This window comes from Homo sapiens, chromosome 15 (assembly GCF_000001405.40).
Source record: "Homo sapiens chromosome 15, GRCh38.p14 Primary Assembly".
NCBI classification, from domain to species: domain Eukaryota; kingdom Metazoa; phylum Chordata; class Mammalia; order Primates; family Hominidae; genus Homo; species Homo sapiens.
This window is the reverse complement of record NC_000015.10, coordinates 34,848,487-34,869,820: the sequence shown is the minus strand read 5'-3', so window position 1 is coordinate 34,869,820 and position 21,334 is coordinate 34,848,487. Positions and strand designations below refer to the sequence as shown.

Here is a 21,334-nt window from a genome sequence, read left to right as displayed (position 1 = left end):
GGAAAAGCTACAAAGCAGAGAAATGTAAGAACTCAGAAAGAGATGAAATGTAAGCTGGAAGAAAATAAAATCAGAGGAATGAAAACAAAATCAAAAGGAATACAGGGAAGAATAGACACTGCACAGAATACTTCATAAGGAATAGAGTGAAACTGAGAAACTAATAATTTTGCAAGTTTAGAAATAGAAGGACCTCAATATTTGAGTCCTTTTACAGAAAATCTTACTCAAATAATAAGGAAAGTTACTTTCTCTCATAACAAGATGGAAATAGGGTGGTTCCAAGGTTGGGTTACAGGGTAGCTCAACGATGTTATTCTGCCCTGCTAATGTCAGCATGTGAGCCCAGTTCTCCACATGGTCAGAGTGGCAACAGAATTCCCAGGTATAATATCCACACATAACAACAAAGGACGTATATCCAGAATATATGAACTCCTATAAAAGTTATTACTAAATAAGGCAGACCAATACAAAATGGGCAAATGACTTGAACAGACACTTCACATAAGGAAGACCTACAGGTAGCCAATACGTCATGAAAAAGTGCTTACCATCATTAGTTGTCAAGGAAATAGAAATTAAAGCTACAATGATATACCACTACCTACCCAAAAGAATGGGTAAAATGATGAAGATTGACATTATGACAAATGTTGGCAAGGATGTACAACAACTGAAACTCTAGAACTGGGGTTCTAGAGTTTACACATTGCTGGGGAATGTGTAAAGTGGGATAACAATTTTGGAAAAGTTTGACAGTTTCTTATAAAGTATGCACTTACTGTACAGCTCAGCAATTTCACTCCTGCATATTTATTCAAGAGCAATGAAAACATGTCCACAAAAATATTTGTACATGAATATTTATTGCAGCTTTATGCAAGATAGCTTCAAACTAGAAACAGGCCAACTTTTCATGAAAAGGTGAGTGGACAAAACTGTGGTATATTTGTTCAGTGAAAGAATACTCAAAAAGGTATGAATTTCTCATGTACACATACATGAATATATCTCAGAAACATGCTGATTGAAAGAAACAGGACACAAAAGAATATATCCTTTTGATGCTATTTTTATGTAATTCTAGAACTGGCAAAAAATAATCTGTAGTGACAGAAAGTAAATCAGTGGTTGCCTGGGGCTGGGGGATGCAGATTTGACCAAAATGGGGCCTGAGATGATGGACATTTTTATTGTGGTGGTGGTCACATGGGAAAATGTATTGTCAAAATTCATCAAATTGTACACTTGAACACATTTTATTGTGTATAAACTATACCTCCATGTAGTTGACTTAAAAAGTGTTTTGTAAACTTCCTAAAGATAGAGAGACTATAAATTACAGTATCTGCAGGGTAAGCAATAAACTTTTTGTCAAATTGATGAAAAGATAAATGTCTGAGTTGCCAGTATTAGTGACTGAAACCTTTCTGAACTTCCCTATTTGTACATACACTTTTTTTCTTTCTTTCTTCTTCTTTTTTTTTTAAACAGGGCCTTACTCTGTTACCCAGGCCGGAGTGTAGTGTCATGATCTCAACTCACTGCAACCTCCACCTCCTGGGCTCAAGCAATCCTCCCAACATAGCCTTCTGAGTAGCTGGAACTACAGGCACGCGCCACCATGCCCAGCTAATTTTTGTATAATTTGTAGAGATGGGATTTCACCGCATTGCCCAGGCTGGTCTTTAACTCCTGGGCTCAAGCGATCTGCCCATGTTGGCCTCCCATGTACATATATTTTCAAACTGAACAGAAAGTGCAATGAAGATTATTTGTTTTTTTCTTTGATGGAGGAATGCTGTAGACATTTACTAGTGATACGTTAAGTAATAAATAAGCATACTAAGTTATATTGCTGAGCATCAAACTGGGATACCAGTTAATAAGCTAGACATAGTCTCTGCTTTCATGAAGTTTTGCAATCTAATGGGGGAAGACTGTTAATTCCAAAAATAGTTATTTAGTTATCAGCAAAGGTAAAGACAAGTGCTGTAAGTGTTAATAACATAAGGATGTAGTTTGATCTGATTAGTATGGTTTCTTTAATAATGTTCATTAACTTGTTCTTGGAATTCCAAGCCTATGATTATGTTTCTTTTGGGATTGATTAAGGATAAGATGTTTGTTCCTAGCACATTATTTAAATGATCTCTAGTGTCTTTTGGCTTTTGCAAATGCACCATATTTTCCATTTTTTATTTCTAGGTGACAACTGTTGATAGATTTCAAGGTCAACAGAATGACTATATTCTTCTTTCTCTGGTACGAACCAGGGCAGTGGGCCATCTGAGGTACGTAGGAAAAAACTTTCATAATATTTATTGAACTTTACTATCTACTTCAATTTTGAAATTCTGTGGCTAAGTGTTCTAAATATTTTTTAAGTTTAAACTATAATTACTAGGCAACTTTTGCTGCTTTTTGTTGGAATGTAACATCAAATTCCTTGTAACTATTCTCATTGCTGCTGGATTTTTTTACTCTTAAATGTTTTAGTAATTTTAAGTTTTACCCTTTAGTAACCCTCAGAGATAGCGTTTTATCATAAAATCTTAATCTCTCCTGTATCTGTTAGAAACTTAATATCAGAAATTAAAGGAGATTAACTAAAAAGTCTTCAGAATAAATTTTCATTGTATAATATGTTTTCTCATTTTTTCTCATACACAATCTTTCAGCCTCAGTGTTAGAGGATAAAGGAGCCATTTGTTCTCCCTGGATTAAGAATTGTCAAAACAAACAATCTACTTTTATCGTTTATTATGATGTATTTATGTGCTAGAGATTTACGGAAATAATATCTTCTTATTATAAAGCATCCATTTAGTTTTATATAAACCTTCATCTCATATGACATACTAACAAAACTAAGGAGAGTTTATTTTATTACTTTATTGATTAGAAATAAAAAGAAAATTCTCCAAGCTCTCATAATGTTGTCATTAAGATCTGTTTGGAGCTTAACCCAGTGATCAGGTTTCATGAGATTAATAACTTTTATGTAAAGGTAAGTAAAGATGTAATGTTTTAAAAAATTGTTTTGCATACTAGAAGTTTGTTTTTGCATATTAAGTGTCAAGCCAATATTTACAGACTTAACTTTTTACAAAAGCAATTCCTTCTTCTCATTGAGATTTATAACTGCCATCTGAATGGACTGTCACTATGGTTTATATAATTAACATCTCAAAAACTTACAGTATGAATATATGAATACTCCTTCCGCCCCCCTCCTCTCCCTACCTTTTTTCTTAACTCTGTGGTACTTGGTCTTCAAATTCCAGTGACTTTAGTTCTGTGCTGCCCTTTGCCTAATTTTTCTGTAAACTTAGAAAACAAGAAAGATTTTGATGATACAATGCTTATAAATGAAGGGTTAAAAGAAAACCTGATTTCAGTATTGTCTTGAACATCAAAATTTTTTAGCAAAAATACCTTTATCCCAATAACTTAAATTTATTTGTATTTGCCAAAATTTTCCTTTGAAACTCCAACTTCTTCATGGGGGATAGTGTTGGTGGTGGTTGTGCATAGAAGGGATATGTCAGTTCATTATTTATGATTCCAGTTACCCAGGTAGCTTAGCCTAGGTATCTTAGCTAGAATTTTATCAAACTTTTAATAAGAATTTCTGATTTTTAGAAAGCTAATCTTTCATATCCTTCCTTTTATATATAGGCAAGGAACTATTTCTGTTTCAGGATACCAAGGAAACCTACTTCCTGCCATATTTCATTTTTTTGATAACATTATTGAGTTGTAATTTGCGTATACAATTTATCTATTTAAAGTGTACAATTCAATGATTTTTTTGTATATTAACAGCTATGCAGTTATCTCCACAATCAATTTTAGAACATTTTCATCACTGTAGCAGGAAACCCTGTACTTAGCAATCACTTCCCTCCCCACTCCCCCAAACCCTTGGCAACCACTAATTTACTTTTTATCTCTGTAGATTTGCCTATTTTGGACACTTAATATAAATGGAATCATATAATATGTGGTCTTTTGTTACTGGCTTCTCTCACTTAACATATGTTCAAGGTTCATTGTTGTCGAATGTATCAGTACTTCATTCCTTTTCATTGCTGAATAGTATTCCATTGTGTGGCTATGTCACATTTTATTTATCCATTCATCAATTGGACATTGGGTTGTTTCCACTTTGTGGCTATTAGAATGAATAATGCTGCTATGAATATGCATATACAATTTTTATGTGAACACTTGTTTTTCTTTCACTTGGATGTAGACCTAAGAGTAGAATTTCTGGGTCATATGGTAACTCTGTATTTAGCATTTTAGGGAACTGTTAGACTGTTTTCCAAGTGCCTGCCTTATTTCTTTTGCTCACACCTTTTTTTCAGCCAGGGTGGACTAATTGGGTGATTGGGTTGGAGCCAGCTTCAGTTCCAGAGGCCTGTTTTAGGACAATGTGGAGCTGTTTAGTAGCCAGAGTAGTGGGACAGTTCTGGTCCCTTTTCCAGCATTCATTGTTCTTGTACCGAACTGATTTGGACAGCCTAGCTACCAATAGAAATGCACGTAACCTGTTCTGAGCCAAGTAATGAGGCTGCAGCTTTCCTCTGTTGTTTCCTCATAGGGGTTCTATCAGAGTGTTGGCGTTGTTGTTTAACAGTGCTTTTCCTCTCCAGCCATCTTCTGGGGACTAAGAAAGAATGTTGTAGCCCATATTGCCCTGCTTTCAAGACATAACTCCAAGGAACTCTGCCTACTCATGTTACCATCCTTTGTTTTTTTTGCCTGGTAGTTTGTTATGTTCGTAGTATTTGGTCATTCATTTAACAAACATTTTCAGATCCATCCATTGTTTGTCAGTGTGCTAGATTCTTAATATTTAGTAATAGATCTAACATTCATGATCTCTGCCCTTGTGGACTTTAGGGTCTAGTGGCAGATTCATTAATATATCCTTGGAAGATACCTACATTTGAATCTGCAGAAAATTTGTAGTTCAAATCTCCTCATGTACAACGGAGATCATACTGACAAAAGCCACTTTACTGCACTATAGCACTGAAGGCTGGGGAGAAGTTTTCTCCGAGACCATACAGTGGTCATTGCAATAATGCTGTATCTGTGCTGCTCTGTCTAGAGATAGGGCCTTCTGGATGTAAGAGATCACCATGAAAACAACAGTTTATCACCTGCTTCCACCACTAACCCTTTTTCCTCCTAACAACATTAAATTCCACTATAATTTTATTTATAATATTTGTGTGAGGACTTACGCTAGGTATTTCTAGCAGTGTACCTTCAGTTACCAGTGTTGGAACCACCCAACTGTAGCATAACCCCTTGGGGTTTTAAGGAAATGTGGCGAAAATAATAATTTGGCTGACAGTAACTTAGAAAATAATATTTCCTTCATGAATCCAGTATGTCACAAATGTAGAGATTCCTCAAGGTTTCTGTAAAGGAGTATGTCCTTTCCTTCTACCTAAATGAGCATGTCTTAATTTTGTTTGTTGCTGGGGAAAGGGTACCTATCCCTGCTCTGTCCCTTCACACACATACACGTAGCACAAGAATATAAGTGATAGCATATGCTGGTGTCACACTGTACCTCCTTAAGGAAACTAGATGATTTTAAGACCATAGACTAGACCATAAAAAAAACCATAAAAAATGAGGCCGAATTAGAGATACTCCCCAAATACCTTGCATTACACAAAGAAAAGCTATTAGATAAATATTCCAATTCCTGGTTCTCTCTGTCTCTCTGAATGTTACAGAGAACAATCTCTGTAACATTAGATCTCTGTAACACTCTTCACACTTTCTTTCAGAGATTGGAGGTGATTCTCCCAGGCTTTATTATTCTTCATGAAAGTCTTCTCTTTTGCAGAGTACTCAAAAATTTAAATAGCCATCTAAAAACATCTCAGGTAAAAAATCTGTCCTCTGCATTTGAAACCAAAATTATTTTTTCTCACTAAAACACATTTTATTTAATAGTGAGGTGAAATTACATTAGCCCTCTTCACATTTATTTGATTCAAACCTTTTTTAAAAAACTTAGATTCTTTTAAAAAAATAAATTAAAGAAAAATGACATCATTCATCAGATAGCCAGCTACATGTGTAGTTTGATCATTCAGTTTAACCGTTTTATCACTGTTGATATGAACATTGAGTACCTATTATAGGCCAGGCATTGAATCTAAATACTAGAATAAATACATGGATAAAACATGTTATAGGCTGACTGTCCCTTATCTGAAGTTTCAGATTTTGAACTTTCACATTAGGGATGCTCAACTTGTGTTGTTTTATAACATCATACTGTATTTCCATATGTACTTATTATTGTAAATAAGTATAAAACAGTGTGGTAAGAGTTATCTAGGAAGTAAAATTTTACCTTAATGGAGCCTGGGATTTTGGTAGGTGAAGTGGAAGAAGAGCTAGTTCGAATTGACTCAATGACAGTGATACAGTAAGTTAGTAACTGACAATTGAACTCTACTGTAATACTAATATATTACTTAGACCTTTTTAATAAGTGCATTGGTTATTTTGTGATCCTCCCCTTCAAAAAACCAACAAGAGGTTAGTAATAAAGCCTTAACTTTTACTTGGTTTATTAGTCACGTAACATTGATTAACTTCTATTAAGTTTTTAAGAAGCTTAACTTTTTATTGCCAGGGCTTAACAGGACTATCTAATGAAATCTGTGAAAAAAAAAAAAGCTGCTTAAATGTTAATAATCTTGAAGTGTGCTAATTATTTTGTTTATTTCCCAAAGGGATGTCCGTCGCTTGGTAGTGGCCATGTCTAGAGCCAGACTTGGACTTTATATCTTCGCCAGAGTATCCCTCTTCCAAAACTGTTTTGAACTGACTCCAGCTTTCAGTCAGCTCACAGCTCGCCCCCTTCATTTGCATATAATTCCAACAGAACCTTTCCCAACTACTAGAAAGGTAGGACTTCTTTCTTCATTTTATAAAACAGCATTCCTCAGAGTGGAAATTGGGATTTTCTTATAGGTGACCACATTAGCTTGGAACATTATTATAGATAATTTAGTCCCTGTTTTAGAGTGTGCTGCACTGAGGAACTGAGGTAGATTTTCTATATAAAAATGATATCGGTAGGGCGCAGTGGCTTATGCCTGTAATCCCAGCACTTTGGGAGGCTGAGGTAGGAGGATTGCTTGAGCCCAGGAGTTTGAGACCAGCCTGGGCAACATAGTGAGACCTTGTCTCTATAAAAAATAAATAAATAAAAATTAAAAATAATAATGTCAGCCAACATTTAGTGGCTACCATGTATTAGGCAGGCAGTTCTTTACATACATTATCTCATTTTCATCTCAGTAAAAACAGCCTATTAGGTTATTAGATTATTTTATTAACCCCGTTTTACAAATGGAGAAACTTAGGGTCAGAGAAGCTAAGTAGTTTGGCCATGCATCTAGCAGATAGAGGATCCAAGATCTGAAAAGCCAGGAGGTCTTTTCGAATAACATCCCAGAGTTCATGTTATTTATCATTATACTGTACTGTTTGTCTTCAGCTTTGTAAGGAGAACTTAACTACTTACTTGGAAATAGAGCAATAAATAGTTGAGTTCTTAAGAAGCTTACATTCTGGGGAAATGAGGGAGGAGAGAGCACATATATTTAAAGAAAAGATAGAGAAATACTACTCCCTCTTATCTCCCCTTCTTTCTCCCCTTTTCCTAGCACCTTCCCTCCATAGGTAACCAGTTTCTTTAGTTTCACGTTTATCCTTATATTCCTTTTGTATAAAGGAGAAGAGATATGTTACTTTTATATTATTTTCCTTCAGGTTATTATACTATAGACTTTTGGGCTTTGCTTTTTCATTTAATGAATTGTCCTAGGGGGGTCCATTGGATTTTAAATAACATTATTTTAGATGTTCACAGTATACGTCTTCCCTCCACCCCTACTAAAAAAAAACTTAAATCTTGTGTGTTTAATAATAATAAGTACTTTATAAAAAGTGCCTTTTTATTTACTTATTTTTGAAGAAATGCTGCTGTGGAGAAATAGGAAAATGGTGGAGAGAGATCATGGGGTGGTAGGGTCACATAAAGCCTCAAGTGTCAGGCTCAAGTCTAGACACAATCCTATTATATCCGAGTTTCTTGATCTTTTGTGGGCTAGTAAACAGGCACATTCCTGACAAGAGGTCTGGGACAGAGCCTAGGTGTCATCATGTGTAACAAGCTCCCCACGTGCTTTCTATGTAAGGGCTACATGTCACACCTGAAGAAATCTGGAGTGCAGGTCAGACAATATCACTGAACAGAAGGCTTGGAAACCCATGCTTTAGATAACACTCATGAGTTCAAGGCCCTGGGGAGGTTAGGGCTGAGAACATCTCCCCATCTTCTCCTCAAGAGATAGTGAGGGGCGGAGAGTGCTGTGTCTCAAGGAAAGGCAGCTCTTGGCAAGACTCCAGAAAATAAGCTAACAAGCAAAAACTCTTCCATGTTCCTAGTCATAATAGCATGGCCGTATTTGTACATACGAGTTCTGACCATTGCAGAAAATGACCATTAATCAAAAGAATACCTGCTTAGATGGAATGCTGCCATCCTGCTTACTTCTGAGAAATGTTGTTTAATTTACTAAATTATTTCTAACTTCATGCTCTTTAAATAACTTTTCACTTTGAGATTGAATCCTCCTTTTTTGGGGTATGTTTTTTACCTTAATGATTTTCTAAATTGTTCCTATCATAAGAAAGGATAAGACTTTATAAGCATTTTATTAATAACTATAAATAGGAAAGTTGTTAATCTCTATTTTAGGGTGGTTTAAAAAGAAGTGCAAATTCTGTATTTTCTTGATTTGCTTTACTACCTTACCTACACTTATAGAGCAGTGTTTCTTAGATTGTTGTCAGAAGCTACAGAAGAATCAGCTCATTCCACCCAGACCTTCTGAATCTGAATCTATAGGGCTGGAGCCTAGGTACCTGCAATTTAACAGTCTACCCCAGATGATTCTGATAGACACCAAAATCTTAAAAAGAGCATTTGAATATTCACCCTCTTGACTCATAGTATATGTGTTAAATAAAAGTAAATGTTAGCCTCTTACTTTTTAGAAAAATATAAGTAGGACAAAGAGTGTTAATATTTTCTTTCTGAATTATCTTAAGAACTGTCTTTGGAGCATACACAGTCTTAGAAACTGCTGTTTCAGACTGTGTTGACTTTTCTCTCTAGTCAAATAATTACTTATCTTGTACTAATTCTTTTATATTAGATAGTAAACTAAAACCCATACTTAACTTACCAGCCCAAAATTATATTAAAAGCTGGCAACTCTTAGCTCTTCTAGTCTCTAACCTTTCTAAATTTCAATGGAATCACTATTCTTCATGAAGTCTTTTTTTTTTTTTAATGGGAGTCACGTGGCCAGCAGGCAGAGCGTGCTGACCTGGGCCCCCTTTTTATTAATTCTATTTAAGTCTTTTTTTAACATTCATGAAGTCTTCATTGGACTCTTCACACTTGCATTTTATGTCCTCTTACTGTTAGGTCTTCCAGACCCTAATTGTGCTTATTCATAAGATTAAGAAATGGGTTTATGTTGAAGTGTTACCTTCTAGGGTTGTTTTACTAGATACTTAACGTTCTTTTTTCCTTCTTCTAGAATGGAGAGAGACCATCTCATGAAGTACAAATAATAAAAAATATGCCCCAGATGGCAAACTTTGTATACAACATGTACATGCATTTGATACAGACTACACATCATTATCATCAGGTGAGTTTCTCAAAATCGACTTTTATTTTTCTTGCTGTAGAAATAATTTTCTTTTTTTCAGAATAAATCTTTAAAGTACCTAATTCCTTGTGGGAAATCAGCTAAACTAAAGCAGGCTATTATTATTTATGTAACATTCGTATTTTTAAAACTTCTTTATATAGTTAGAATTCCACATACAATAAAGTCCACAAACTTAAAGTGTAAAATTTTATATGTTCTGGCATAGGTATTTACCTGTGAAGCCATCAGCACAGTCAAGATAAAGAGCATATCCATTATCCCAAGAGTTTTCCCTTGTGCCCATTTGTAATCCCTCCTTGCCCTTCACCAGTCCCCTTTTTACCTTCCCAGGCAGCCAAGGATCTGCTTTCTGTCATGATAGGTTTGCTTCTATTTTCTAGATTTTTATATAAATGGAAGCATACAGTATGTATTCTTATTTTTTCTGGCTACTATTGCTTATACAAGTCTTTGTACTTTATCTTGGGTAGATACCTAAGAGTGGAATGGCTGAATTTATGTTAAGGATGTGTTTAACTTTTTAAGAAGCTACCAACCTGTTTTTCAAAGTGGTTGAACCACTTTACACTCTCAGCAGCAGTGTGAGAGTTCTAGTTGCTACACATCCTCACCCTCACTTGATATGGTACGTCTTTTTAAAATTTTGGCAGTTCTAATAGATATACAGTGGTCTCAGTATGGTTTTGGTTTTCATTTCCCTAAGGACTGATGATGAGCATCTTTTCATGTGGTCATTTGCCATCTGTATATCTTTGGGGATGTGTCTGCTCAGGTTTCCTGCTCATTTTTTTATTAGGCTGTATATTTTATTAAGTTTTGAGAGGTTTTTATTTATTCTGGCTACAAGTCCTTTATCTGATATGTATTTTACAAATATTTTCTCCCATTCTGGCTTGTTTATTTATTTTGTAAGTGTCTTTCAAAGAGCAAAAGTTTTAAATTTTGATGAAGTTCAATGTATCAAAGTGTTCTTTTATGATTCATGCTTTTTATGTCCTAAAAATACATAGCCTAACTCAGAGGTATAAAGGTTTTTTCTAGAAGTTGCAGAGTTTTAGGTTGGATACTTAGGTATGATGCATTTTGAGTTAATTTTTATATGATACAGGTAGGACTGAGTTTTATTCATTTGTCTGTGGATATGCAGTTGTTTGAGCACCACTTCCCTAATAGGCGATTTTTTTCTTTGTTGACTTGCTTGTCATCTTAGTCAAAATATCAATTGACTATATATGTGAGAGTCTGGGCTTTCTATTCTGTTCCATTATTCTGTATATCCGTCCCTTTGCCATGACTGTACTACCTTGATTATAGTAGCTTTACAGTCAGTCTGGAAATTAGATAACATAAGTCCTTTAGCTTTGTTCTTCATTTTAGAAATTGTCTTAGCTATCCCAGTTCCTTTGCTTTTCTGTATACATTTTACAATCAGCAGGTCAGTTTCTACCCCCAAAAGCATGCTGCAGTTTTTAAAAGGATATTTTGAAGAGGAGGATTGTTTAGGATCTATTTGGGGAGATTAACATCTTCACATATTAAGTCTTCCTATCCATGAATAAGATCTCTCGTTTATTTAGATCTTCTTTAAATTCTCATCAGGATTTTGTAGTTTTCAACATACAAACCTTACACATATTTTGTTAACATTTTGCTAAGTATTTTTCTTTTTCGTTTTCTTTTTTTTTTTTTTTTTTTTTGCTGCTGTCGTGCACGGTACTTTTTAAAAATCTTAAAGGCCAGGCGCGGTGGCTTATGCCTGTAATCCTAGCACTTTGGGAGGCTGAGGTAGGTGGATCACCTGCGGTCAGGAGTTCGAGACCAGCCTGGCCAACATGGTGAAACCCCGTCTCTACTAAAAATACAAAAATTAGCCAGGCATGGTGGTACATGTCTGTAATCCCAGCTACTTGGGAGGCTGAGGCAGGAGAATCGCTTGAACCTGGGAGACGGAGGTTGCAGTGAGCCAAGATGGCACCACTGCACTCCAGCTTGGGCGACAGAGTGGGACTCTGTCTCAGTCAATCAATCAATCGATCAATCAATTCATTCATTCAATTTCCAGCATTGTAAGCAGAGTCCCTGATGAGAAAGTCACTAGACTGCCATGGGGCAAAGGGCAAGCTAAGCATATAGAGTTGCTCCAGTTTTCTGGTTGAACGGAACAGAAACCTTGTTCCTTGCTGCTCCCTTCTCCCATGGCTTTGCCTTAAGGCCAGGCTCCTCTCTGCCTCTCACAGGGCTCTTTTTCTTTTCTTTTTCTTTTTCTTGAGACAGAATCTCTCTCTGTCACCCAGGCTGGAGTGCAGTGACACAATCTCAACTCACTGCAACCTCCAACTCACAGGGTCAAGTGATTCTCCTGCCTCAGCATCCTGAGTAGATGGGATTACAGGCTCCTGCCACCACGCTCAGCTAATTTTTGTGTTTTTTAGTAGAGATGGGGTTTCACCATGTTGGCCAGGCTAGTCTCGAACTCCTGGCCTCAAGTGATCCGCCTGCCTTGGCCTCCCAAAGTGCCGGGAATGCCACCATGAGCCACCGCACCCAGCTCACAGGGCTCTTTGATTAAAGTTGACCCTTTCTTGAGTTAGTTTTATAATCAGTCCTGATCAGTCACTGTTTTTTGCAGAAATGTTGACAGCAAAGTATGTTGCTTAAAAATCTAATAGCTTTTCATGGTTGTTTTCCTCTCTGAAGATTTTATATGTATTTTGATTATCAGTATATGACATCTGTGTAGGCATATTCCTTGGTGTTAGCAGAACCTAGACCATTGTCATCAGAGGTGTTACATCTGGAGTATAAAATGGTCAGCACTGTTTTGGAGAACTCTAGAATGGTAATGTGAGAGCTTAGCTTTATAAGCTGTTTTTCATATTGGTATTGTCTTTGTTTTTTTTTTTTTAATTAGACTTTATTACAACTACCACCTGCTATGGTAGAAGAGGGTGAGGAAGTTCAAAATCAAGAAACAGAATTGGAAACAGAAGAAGAGGCCATGACTGTTCAAGCTGACATCATACCCAGTCCAACAGACACCAGCTGCCGTCAAGAAACTCCAGCCTTTCAAACTGACACCACCCCCAGTGAGACAGGAGCCACTTCCACTCCAGAAGCCATCCCTGCTTTATCTGAGACCACCCCTACTGTGGTAGGAGCTGTATCTGCACCGGCAGAAGCTAACACACCTCAGGATGCCACATCTGCCCCGGAAGAGACCAAGTAGCCAAACTGTAGTCCTTCTAAAGGAGGACATGGCAGTCAAAAAGTCTGAGTAAAGCTGTTTTTTGTATTTTATATTTGCTTCTGCCATTTTACTGTCACTAATTAATGTTTAGTTCTTATATTTGTTAACTGATTTCGGTGTCTTGAATATATTTTTTTAAATTATGTGTATGAACAATTCTAGTTTCATTTGTTCAATCAGAAGAGCAAATAACCATTCCTTTCATGTTTTGATCACTGAGTGTGTCTGTAATCATACCTACATTAAAATCATTTTCTATGAATATATAATATATACTTCACATTTTTAGTGAACTTCTCTAAAGAAGAGGACAGAATATACTGGACTTAACCACGAATACCCTTGAGTGTCCAAATTGGGAAGGAACTTGTTTCTTCTGTTATACTATCAAATGCTTAAATTCTGTTTCCTTTTTTCTTACCTTTGTTTGCTGTCTTTATGTAAAGATATTATTAGCAGTAAGATACAGGTTTCTTCAATCTATCAAAGTGGTTACATGCATTTCCTTCTCTCAAATCTTAGAATGCCTTAGAATCACCTAAGATGTCTGTTTATTCTTGAGGCACACCTCAGACTGAATGAGTCAGAATCTCAGGATTAGAGCCTAGGAATCTATATTTTAGGAGGTTCTCCACACCACTAATGTTTGGGTTGCTGGCAGAGTGGCATCAGCCAAGGCTGGTTAGGCTGAGCCAGGATTTGTCATCAGCTAAATAGGAGGACTCTGCCAAATCAATCTGGGCAAGAAGCAGGATCCTGAGTCTGGGCAATGAGAGTCAGAGAACTTAACTCCTGTGTGCAGGGTAGAATTTTCCCATGGCAGAAATTCTGAGTTTTCTGCCTTATTTTTCTTGGGATAACCAGCCACAAGGAGACCTTCAGGTAAAATGTGGTTCAAATATGGGAAGGCAGAGGTACCTGGGACCTTGCTACTCAAGTATGATTTGTGAACCAACAGCATCAACATCGTATTGAAGTTTGTTATTTATAGAAATGCAGAAGTTTGGGCTCTGCTCCAAACCTATTAAATCTAAATCTACATTGCAACAAAGTCCCCAGGTGATTCACAGGCACTTTGTAGTTTGAGAAGCACTGTACTAAGATTACTGTGTTGTCTTCACATGAATGAGGCTATAATGTAGAATTACCAGTGAATGTGACTAATGTTTTCTGACAAGGGACCTCTGCTTACAAGGTCCCTGGGCATGGTGCCCAGAACTGGAAAAAAAAAAAAAAAAAAGGAAATGTTTATATGTATGTGTAGAGGGGAAAATTGCCCACTAGTTCTCTATTTCCCATTTTGATCATCTGCTAGAGTATCTAAAGGGGAGGGGAGCATTTACCCCAGAATGTCTCCTCTAGTGCATCCACCTATGGGCCTGGCCATGTCCAAGGAATCTTTGAAGAAACAAGCAAGAACTGCACACTACCATTGAAATCCTTCTGGTCCTGACATTTTGAAGGAATGATTGCTTCATAGGGAAATTAAACCCAGAAAGTCAAGTCAGTTATATTTTTGAGTGACTAGTGTTTGCTCAGCTCTACCAGGCTGTGTTGAATATGGTACAGACTCTCATTTTATGATGTATCCTACTGCATCAGGACATTTGTGTCAATGTCAGGTGATGAGGGGAAATGAAAGTGATGAGACGATGAGAGGAGTGAAATACCAAGGACGCGATACTAGGAAACCCAGGTCTATTTGTTATCAGAGTAAGGATCAAGCCAGATAGCCTGTTATGTAATTTCTCCGATAAAAGATTTTGAAAGCAGGTGCTGTGGGCATCTGTATGGGGAATCGCACTCATAGAATTATTTTCATTTGTAAATATTTGGTATCAGGCCAAGCAAGGGAAAGAAGCTTTACTGTATTACCATCTTTCCTGGAAAAGATTGATTTTTCTCTCTCCCTTAGGGGATATGAGGTATGATACCTGCAACCAAAATAAGCTGGCTGTTAAGTGCTCTCTCCTTAACTATTGTCCAAGCAATGTACATCACTCTTGCCTAGATGAGTGACCATACTTTTTTCTTTGCTGCTTGGTTTTTCTATCACTAAAAAGCAAATTTAGGTGGAAGATGGATGGGTAAGTCCTTTGTCCTTGTCAAAAGAATTTAGAAAGGGTAAAGGTGGTGGGATTTGAATTCTTTTAAACGGTTTATTCATTGGAAAGGCAAGTGAGTGGCAGTTGACTGTAGAATCTTGGGAATTTTTGAAGGAATTTAAGAGCTGTACTTATTTTAAATAATGAGGAAACAATCAGAGAGACTTAACCAGGGTGGCAACTATGGAAGAGTGGGGGTAGAATCCAAGTCTACAGTTCTACGGCACTGCTTTGTTTATTTTTTCAATCAAGCACACATGAGGGATTGCTTAATAAATTCAAGAGTTTTCTATATAGTTTGGGATTACTACAGACACAGGTACTCTAGCCATGTGACTATTTCAGATTAGTGTTCCCATTGCTCTCCATCCTATTTTTCATATCTAAATGTGTCATGATTTTAGAATCTCTTTGTAAAGAAAACCAAAAAGAGCCATGCCCAAAAGAATGAGCATGAAATGAAGCAATTCAAGTATTTAGAATTTCTTCTTCTTTTTTTTTTTTTTTTTTCAAAATTCTGAGTTAAGAAAGTTCATTGCCAACAGTTGAGGATAAATAGCTCTATTGATTTAGGCAAATGAATGAGAAGATTTAAACATCATCAAGACTCCCAAAGTTGGTGTAATAAAAGTTGAGATGTTTTGCTAGATGCTGAGAGAAAAGGCATAAATAGGCCATTTGTGCTCCTGTAAACAAATGAAATTTTGTAATGATCAAGAGACAGCAAGATATTATAAAACACACTTTGGACTCATCGAGACCTGGCTCAGAGTTGTACCTAATTTGCTTATCAGCATTTGGTTAGACCTTAGACAAATTTTATAACCTCTCTAAGCCCATTTTCTTTATCTGTAAATAAAGGAAAAAGATCTGTTTGGATTTGGGACAGGAGAGTTGTCTGTTTTATAGGGTAATGTTTATGAAAATAATTTATCACCTAGGTACTTAGTAAATACCAGTTTCTGTCTCTGTTTTTCTTCAAAGCTTTGTTGACAATGTAGGATATTGCCAACTAATCCTTTGACTTGAGTGCTTAGCCATGCCCCAATCCAGGCAGCATGAAGAATGATCAAGAAGGGGACACCTAGTGGCAGTTGACCTTTGAGGATCTATCTAGGATCAGGTTACTGATTTGGGACCTCTGAATCAGTACATCATAACATCGAGAGTGATCTCTGCCAAAATTAAAATTCTGTCAGAACAGTATAAGCAGAAGGAAGACATTAGGTCTTTCTGAAATATGGAGCTGATAACTTCTATCAGTTCTGAATTCTGTACTGTCCCACCCCCAAATCATCTATATTGTTGCATGTGCTTAGCTTTGTGCCTTGAATTGCTATTTCCTTTTTATCTTGCACTCAGATGGTATTTTTAGAGATGTTTCTTCAATCAAAACAAGATAAAGTTAAAAAAAAAAAAAAAACAGTGACCCTTTTGCATAAGCCAGAAGAGCAGTGCCTTGCTTCCTGTGAAAAATGCTTGGCAGTTAGCCTGTGTAATTATTTAGCAATCATGTTAATAGATGTTTAAGAATAATGGAACTGGAGCTGTACTGAGCCAAGGATGGAAATGAAGACATGTGAGACTATTTTTTCTTCATCCACCGATACTCTTCAGTTACAAGGATTTAATTTAAAAGGGTTTTAATTAAATGGAATCCAGAAGCTTTGGACGCTCCAGTTTTTCTTCTTAGAGACAAACCCTAGCTCAGTTTCCTGGAGCTTGACTCAGAATGCAGCATGGTACTCCGGACTGACAGTGTGCCAGCTTTATTCACTTATCTCTCTACCTTTTGGCTTGCGTTTATTTCAGGGCTGCCTGACATTTTGACCTTATGTACAAAGATGGCCGATACGATTATTTTTCATCATATATTACAGAAAATACTACTCTTGAAAAATACTCTGAGAAATATGTTCTATGGTCAGATAAGTTTGGGAAACAGTGAATTATTGTTCCTCCTTTGCAGAATCACAATGCACTGTTAGCTAATTAAAGACTCTCAGATGTCCCACTGGAAAGAATCATGTTTAGCTTTGTTTAACCTAGCATTTCCCAAACTTATTAGAGCATAAAACTTTGTTTTTGTTTTTTTTTAATAAGATAGGTAGCTATTTCCTTAGAACACAGTTTGGGAAACTTTTTGTTCATTTGTTTTAATAAGATACCTTAGGTAGCTATTTCCTTAGAACACGAGCCGGGTGCAGTGGCTCACGCCTGTAATCCCAGCACTTTGGGAGGCCCAGGCGGGCGGATCACCTGAGGTCAGGAGATCGAGATCATCCGGCCCAACATGGTGAAACCCCGTCTCTACTAAAAAGACAAAAATTAGCCAGCCATGGTGGCAGGCACCTGTAGTCCTAGCTACTGTGGAGGCTGAGGCAGGAGAATCACTTGAACCCGGGATGGGGAGGTTGCAGTGAGCTGAGATGGCGCCACTGTACTCCAGCCTGGGCGACGAGCAAAAACTCCTTCAAAAAAAAAAAAAAAACATAACTTAGGTAGCTATTTCCTTGGGAACCAATATCTTTACATTGGCTAGAACTGTGAATCGCCCTTTAAAGATAAAGCCCCAAAATACATTTTTTTTCCCTACAGGTAACCAGAGGGTGAAGTAACAGCCGAAGAGGAAACCAGAAGTGAAGTGATTTGTACAAAATGTCGTAGTGTAATTTATTGAGTGTCATGTGGTATTAATCGCAACATCCTGAAAATGCAAATGAATAAAAGTTTGGTCAATGTACCATGACATTCCTTCATGTGAGCCTCCTAAGAAAAGGTCACTGAGCATTCTCTGTTTACATTTTAATTTTAGACTCCAGAATTTCACACTAAGTTTTTCTTCTCATTTCTTATGCAGTAAAAGAAGAGTTTGTATTTCCAATGTGTCTGGCTTTCTGTTCTTTAGTTTTTGTTTCCTTAAAAAGTTTAAACTCCAAAAAGAGAAAAGGATTACTTAGCATAACCAATAGAGGTGGTCTGGAAATAATAAAAGAAAATGAAGGCAAATATAAAACATGAAGACAGTTTCCTCGCATAAGAATATTTAACACACAAGGACCCCAGCAGTTACTTTGCATTAAGCATACTGAATTCTTTCTTGATCTCCAGAATAACTGTCCCCACAATCCTCTTCCCCTCTACCTTTGATTTAACATTGTGCACTCTCTCTATTATACTTATCTTTGTGTTGCAACCTAAGTTCAAGAACCTCAAAGGTAGCTGCTTCTCTTTGAAAGATGCCTGGTTTAATATAAAAAGCTCTTTTAAGAGCTGAATTTATTGACATTTTTCGAAAAACAGTTCTGGATGGGAAGTGATCCTTTTCTACTTTAGTTCACTGGTTCATTTGGGCCATTTTTGATTGGTTGGTTGGTTGGTTGCTTAGTTTTTTCCATCTGGTTTCTAGTTCAGTTGTCCACAAAGTGAACTAAAAGTGCTTACTGTGTTACTGTATTTTCATTACCTTTTTGCTTCCAGTGCTAGTTTCTTCTCATCTCAGACTGCCACGAAAATAGCGTGCAATAGGAGTAGACCTTGTTAATTTGCATGCCATTTAGTTGGTTGACTACTTTTCACAGAAGTGAATTGAATTCAATATAATAAAACTTTTGAAGATGTTTATGAAACTAATATTTGTATATCAACAGACTATTGAATGCCAACTCTGTGCCAGGCAGCAATGCCAAAAACAACTCTAGTACTTTATAGATGAGAACACCAAGGCATTGGGTGATTTGCCTGGGACACCACAATTAATTGAACAGGGACTAGAACCATCATGTAACTTTTAGGCAAATTTCTTACCATGCTGCCCTTTAAATTTCTTTGCTTGAGACACATTAAAGAACAGAACAACACCAACTGTGCATGAGTAAGACAAGCCTACTAAATAATTTCTCTTATGGTCAATATACCAAAAAGACTAGGTTGCCAAAATCAGGGTAGAAAATAAAAGGTCTCTAAAAAGAATGTCCCAATGTTTACAATATTTATTCTTACAGGAGAAAGACAAATTAGTATTTGTTTTGGTTTGAAAAAGGAATGAGAAACACATAATAGAAAGGGACTCTGGTAAGTAATACTGTATGCCTAAAAATGCTAATTATCCTAAAGTCATTTTATATTTAAGCAGAAGCAGAACATGTTAAGTAATAATAGTTTTAAAAGTGTGATTTCTGAGTGTGTTACCTTGACTCAGCTTCTCAGGAGAAGTGACCGGGACCTGGTGTCTGCTCCTGTTGCCTTTGTCTCTTAATCCCTAGCCACTATGCGTGAGCACATCTCCATCCACGTTGGCCGGGCTGATGGCCAGATTGATAATCCCTGCTCAGAGCTCTGCGGCCTGGAACACGGCATGCAGCCCGATGGCCAGGTGCCAAGTGACAAGACCACTCGGGGAGATGACTCCTTTAACATCTTCGGTGAGACAGGTGCTGGCAAGCATAAGCCCAGGGCAGTGTTTGTAGACCTGGAGCCCACATTCATTGACAAAATTCACGTTGCCATCTACCACTAGCTCTTCCACCCTGAGCAGCTCATCACAGGCAAGGAAGATGCTGCCAATAACTATGCCCAAGGGCACTATACTATTGGCGAGGAGATCACTGGCCTCATGTTGGACCAAATTCTCAAGCTGGCCAACCAGTGCACAAGTCTTCAGGGCTTCTTGGTTTTCCATAGCTTTGGTTGGGGAACTGGTTCTGGGTTCACCTCCCTGCTGATAGAATGTCTGTCTCTTCATTATGGCAAGAAGTCAAAGTTGGAGTTCATTTACTCAGTGTCCCAGGTTTCCAAAGCTGTAGTTGAGCCCTATAGCTCCATTCTCACCACCCACACTACCCTGGAGCGCTCTGAGTGTTCCTTTGTGGTAGACATCTGTCATAGAAATCTCAATATTGATTGCTCAACCTATCAATAGCTAGTGAAGTCTCTTTAACTTTAACTGCCTTATTCATCAGTTTATGCCCTCTATGCTTCCCTTAGAGTTGATGGCTTCCTGAATGCTGATCCCTGTTATCTCTGCTGAGAAAGCCTATCATGAAGAGCTTTAGAGCAGAGATCATCAATGCTTGATTTGAGCCAGCCAACCAGATGATGAAATGTGACCTTCGCCATGGCAAATGATGGCTTCCTGCCTGTTGCACTGTGGTGACACCATAAAGATGTCAATGCTGCTTTACCACCATAAAGACCAAGCACAATATCCAGTGTGTGGATTGGTGTCCCACTGGTTTCAAGGTTGGCATTAGTTACGAGCTTCCCATGGTGGTACCTGGTGGAGACCTGGCCAAGATACAGAGAGCTGTGTGCATGCTGAGCAATACCACAGCCTTTGCTGAGACCTGGGCTCACCTGGACCACAAGTTTTGACCTGGTGTATGCCAACCATGCCTTTGTTCACTGGTACATTCGTGAGGGGGGCATAGAAGAAGGGTTTTCTGAGGCCCAATGAGGACATGGCTGCCCTTGAGAAGGTTTATGAGGAGGTTGGTATAGATTCTGTTAAAGGAGAGGGAGAGAAAGAGGAGAGAAATATTAATTATCCATTCCTTCCATCCCTGCAACATGTCTTACTCCCAGAATTTAAGCTTCAACATTAATTGACAGGCATCAAAGCTTTCTGGTTAGATTGTTTACACTCAGTGGAGATCAATGTTCCATCTGTACCTGTAAGATTATTGGCCTTTTGAAGGCCTCCAGTACAATGCTGAAAAGAGGTAGTCAGAACAAGTATCTTTGTTTCTTCCCAGTTTTAGGAGCAAACTTTCAATATTTCACCACTAAGTATAGTGTTTGCTATAGGTTTTTGCATACACTCTGTATCAGGTTTTAAGAACTTCTTTCTATTCCTAGCTTGCTAGGTGTTTCTTTTTTAATCATTAACGTATGCTGAATTCTAACAAATGCTTTTTCTATATCTATCAAAATGATCGTATGCTTTCCTTTATTTATTTATTTTTATTTTACTTTAAGTTCTGGGATACCTGTGCTGAACGTGCAGGTTTGTACATGTGCCATAGTGGTTTGCTGCACCCATCAACCCGTCATCTAGGTTTTAAGCTCCCCATGCATTAGGTATTTGTCCCAATTCTCTCTCTCCCCAATCATATGCTTTTCTTTATTTTGTTAATGTGGTGGATTACATTGATTTATTTTTTCTATCGATTGAATTTTTT

General features: G+C 37.3%; 1 protein-coding gene and 1 pseudogene across 1 annotated transcript in view; both read left to right on the top strand.

The window, feature by feature from the left end:
* AQR (aquarius intron-binding spliceosomal factor) overlaps nt 1–18,039 on the top strand; it is a 117,961-nt gene extending 99,922 nt beyond the window's left edge. The window contains exons 32-35 of the mRNA NM_014691.3: nt 2,212–2,297; nt 6,780–6,954; nt 9,666–9,779; nt 12,715–18,039. Coding sequence (NP_055506.1) covers nt 2,212–2,297; nt 6,780–6,954; nt 9,666–9,779; nt 12,715–13,029 — 690 coding nt within the window. The 3' untranslated portion in view covers nt 13,030–18,039. The remainder of the gene's footprint in view (nt 1–2,211; nt 2,298–6,779; nt 6,955–9,665; nt 9,780–12,714) is intronic.
* On the top strand, nt 19,337–20,838 carry TUBAP11 (tubulin alpha pseudogene 11; annotated as a pseudogene).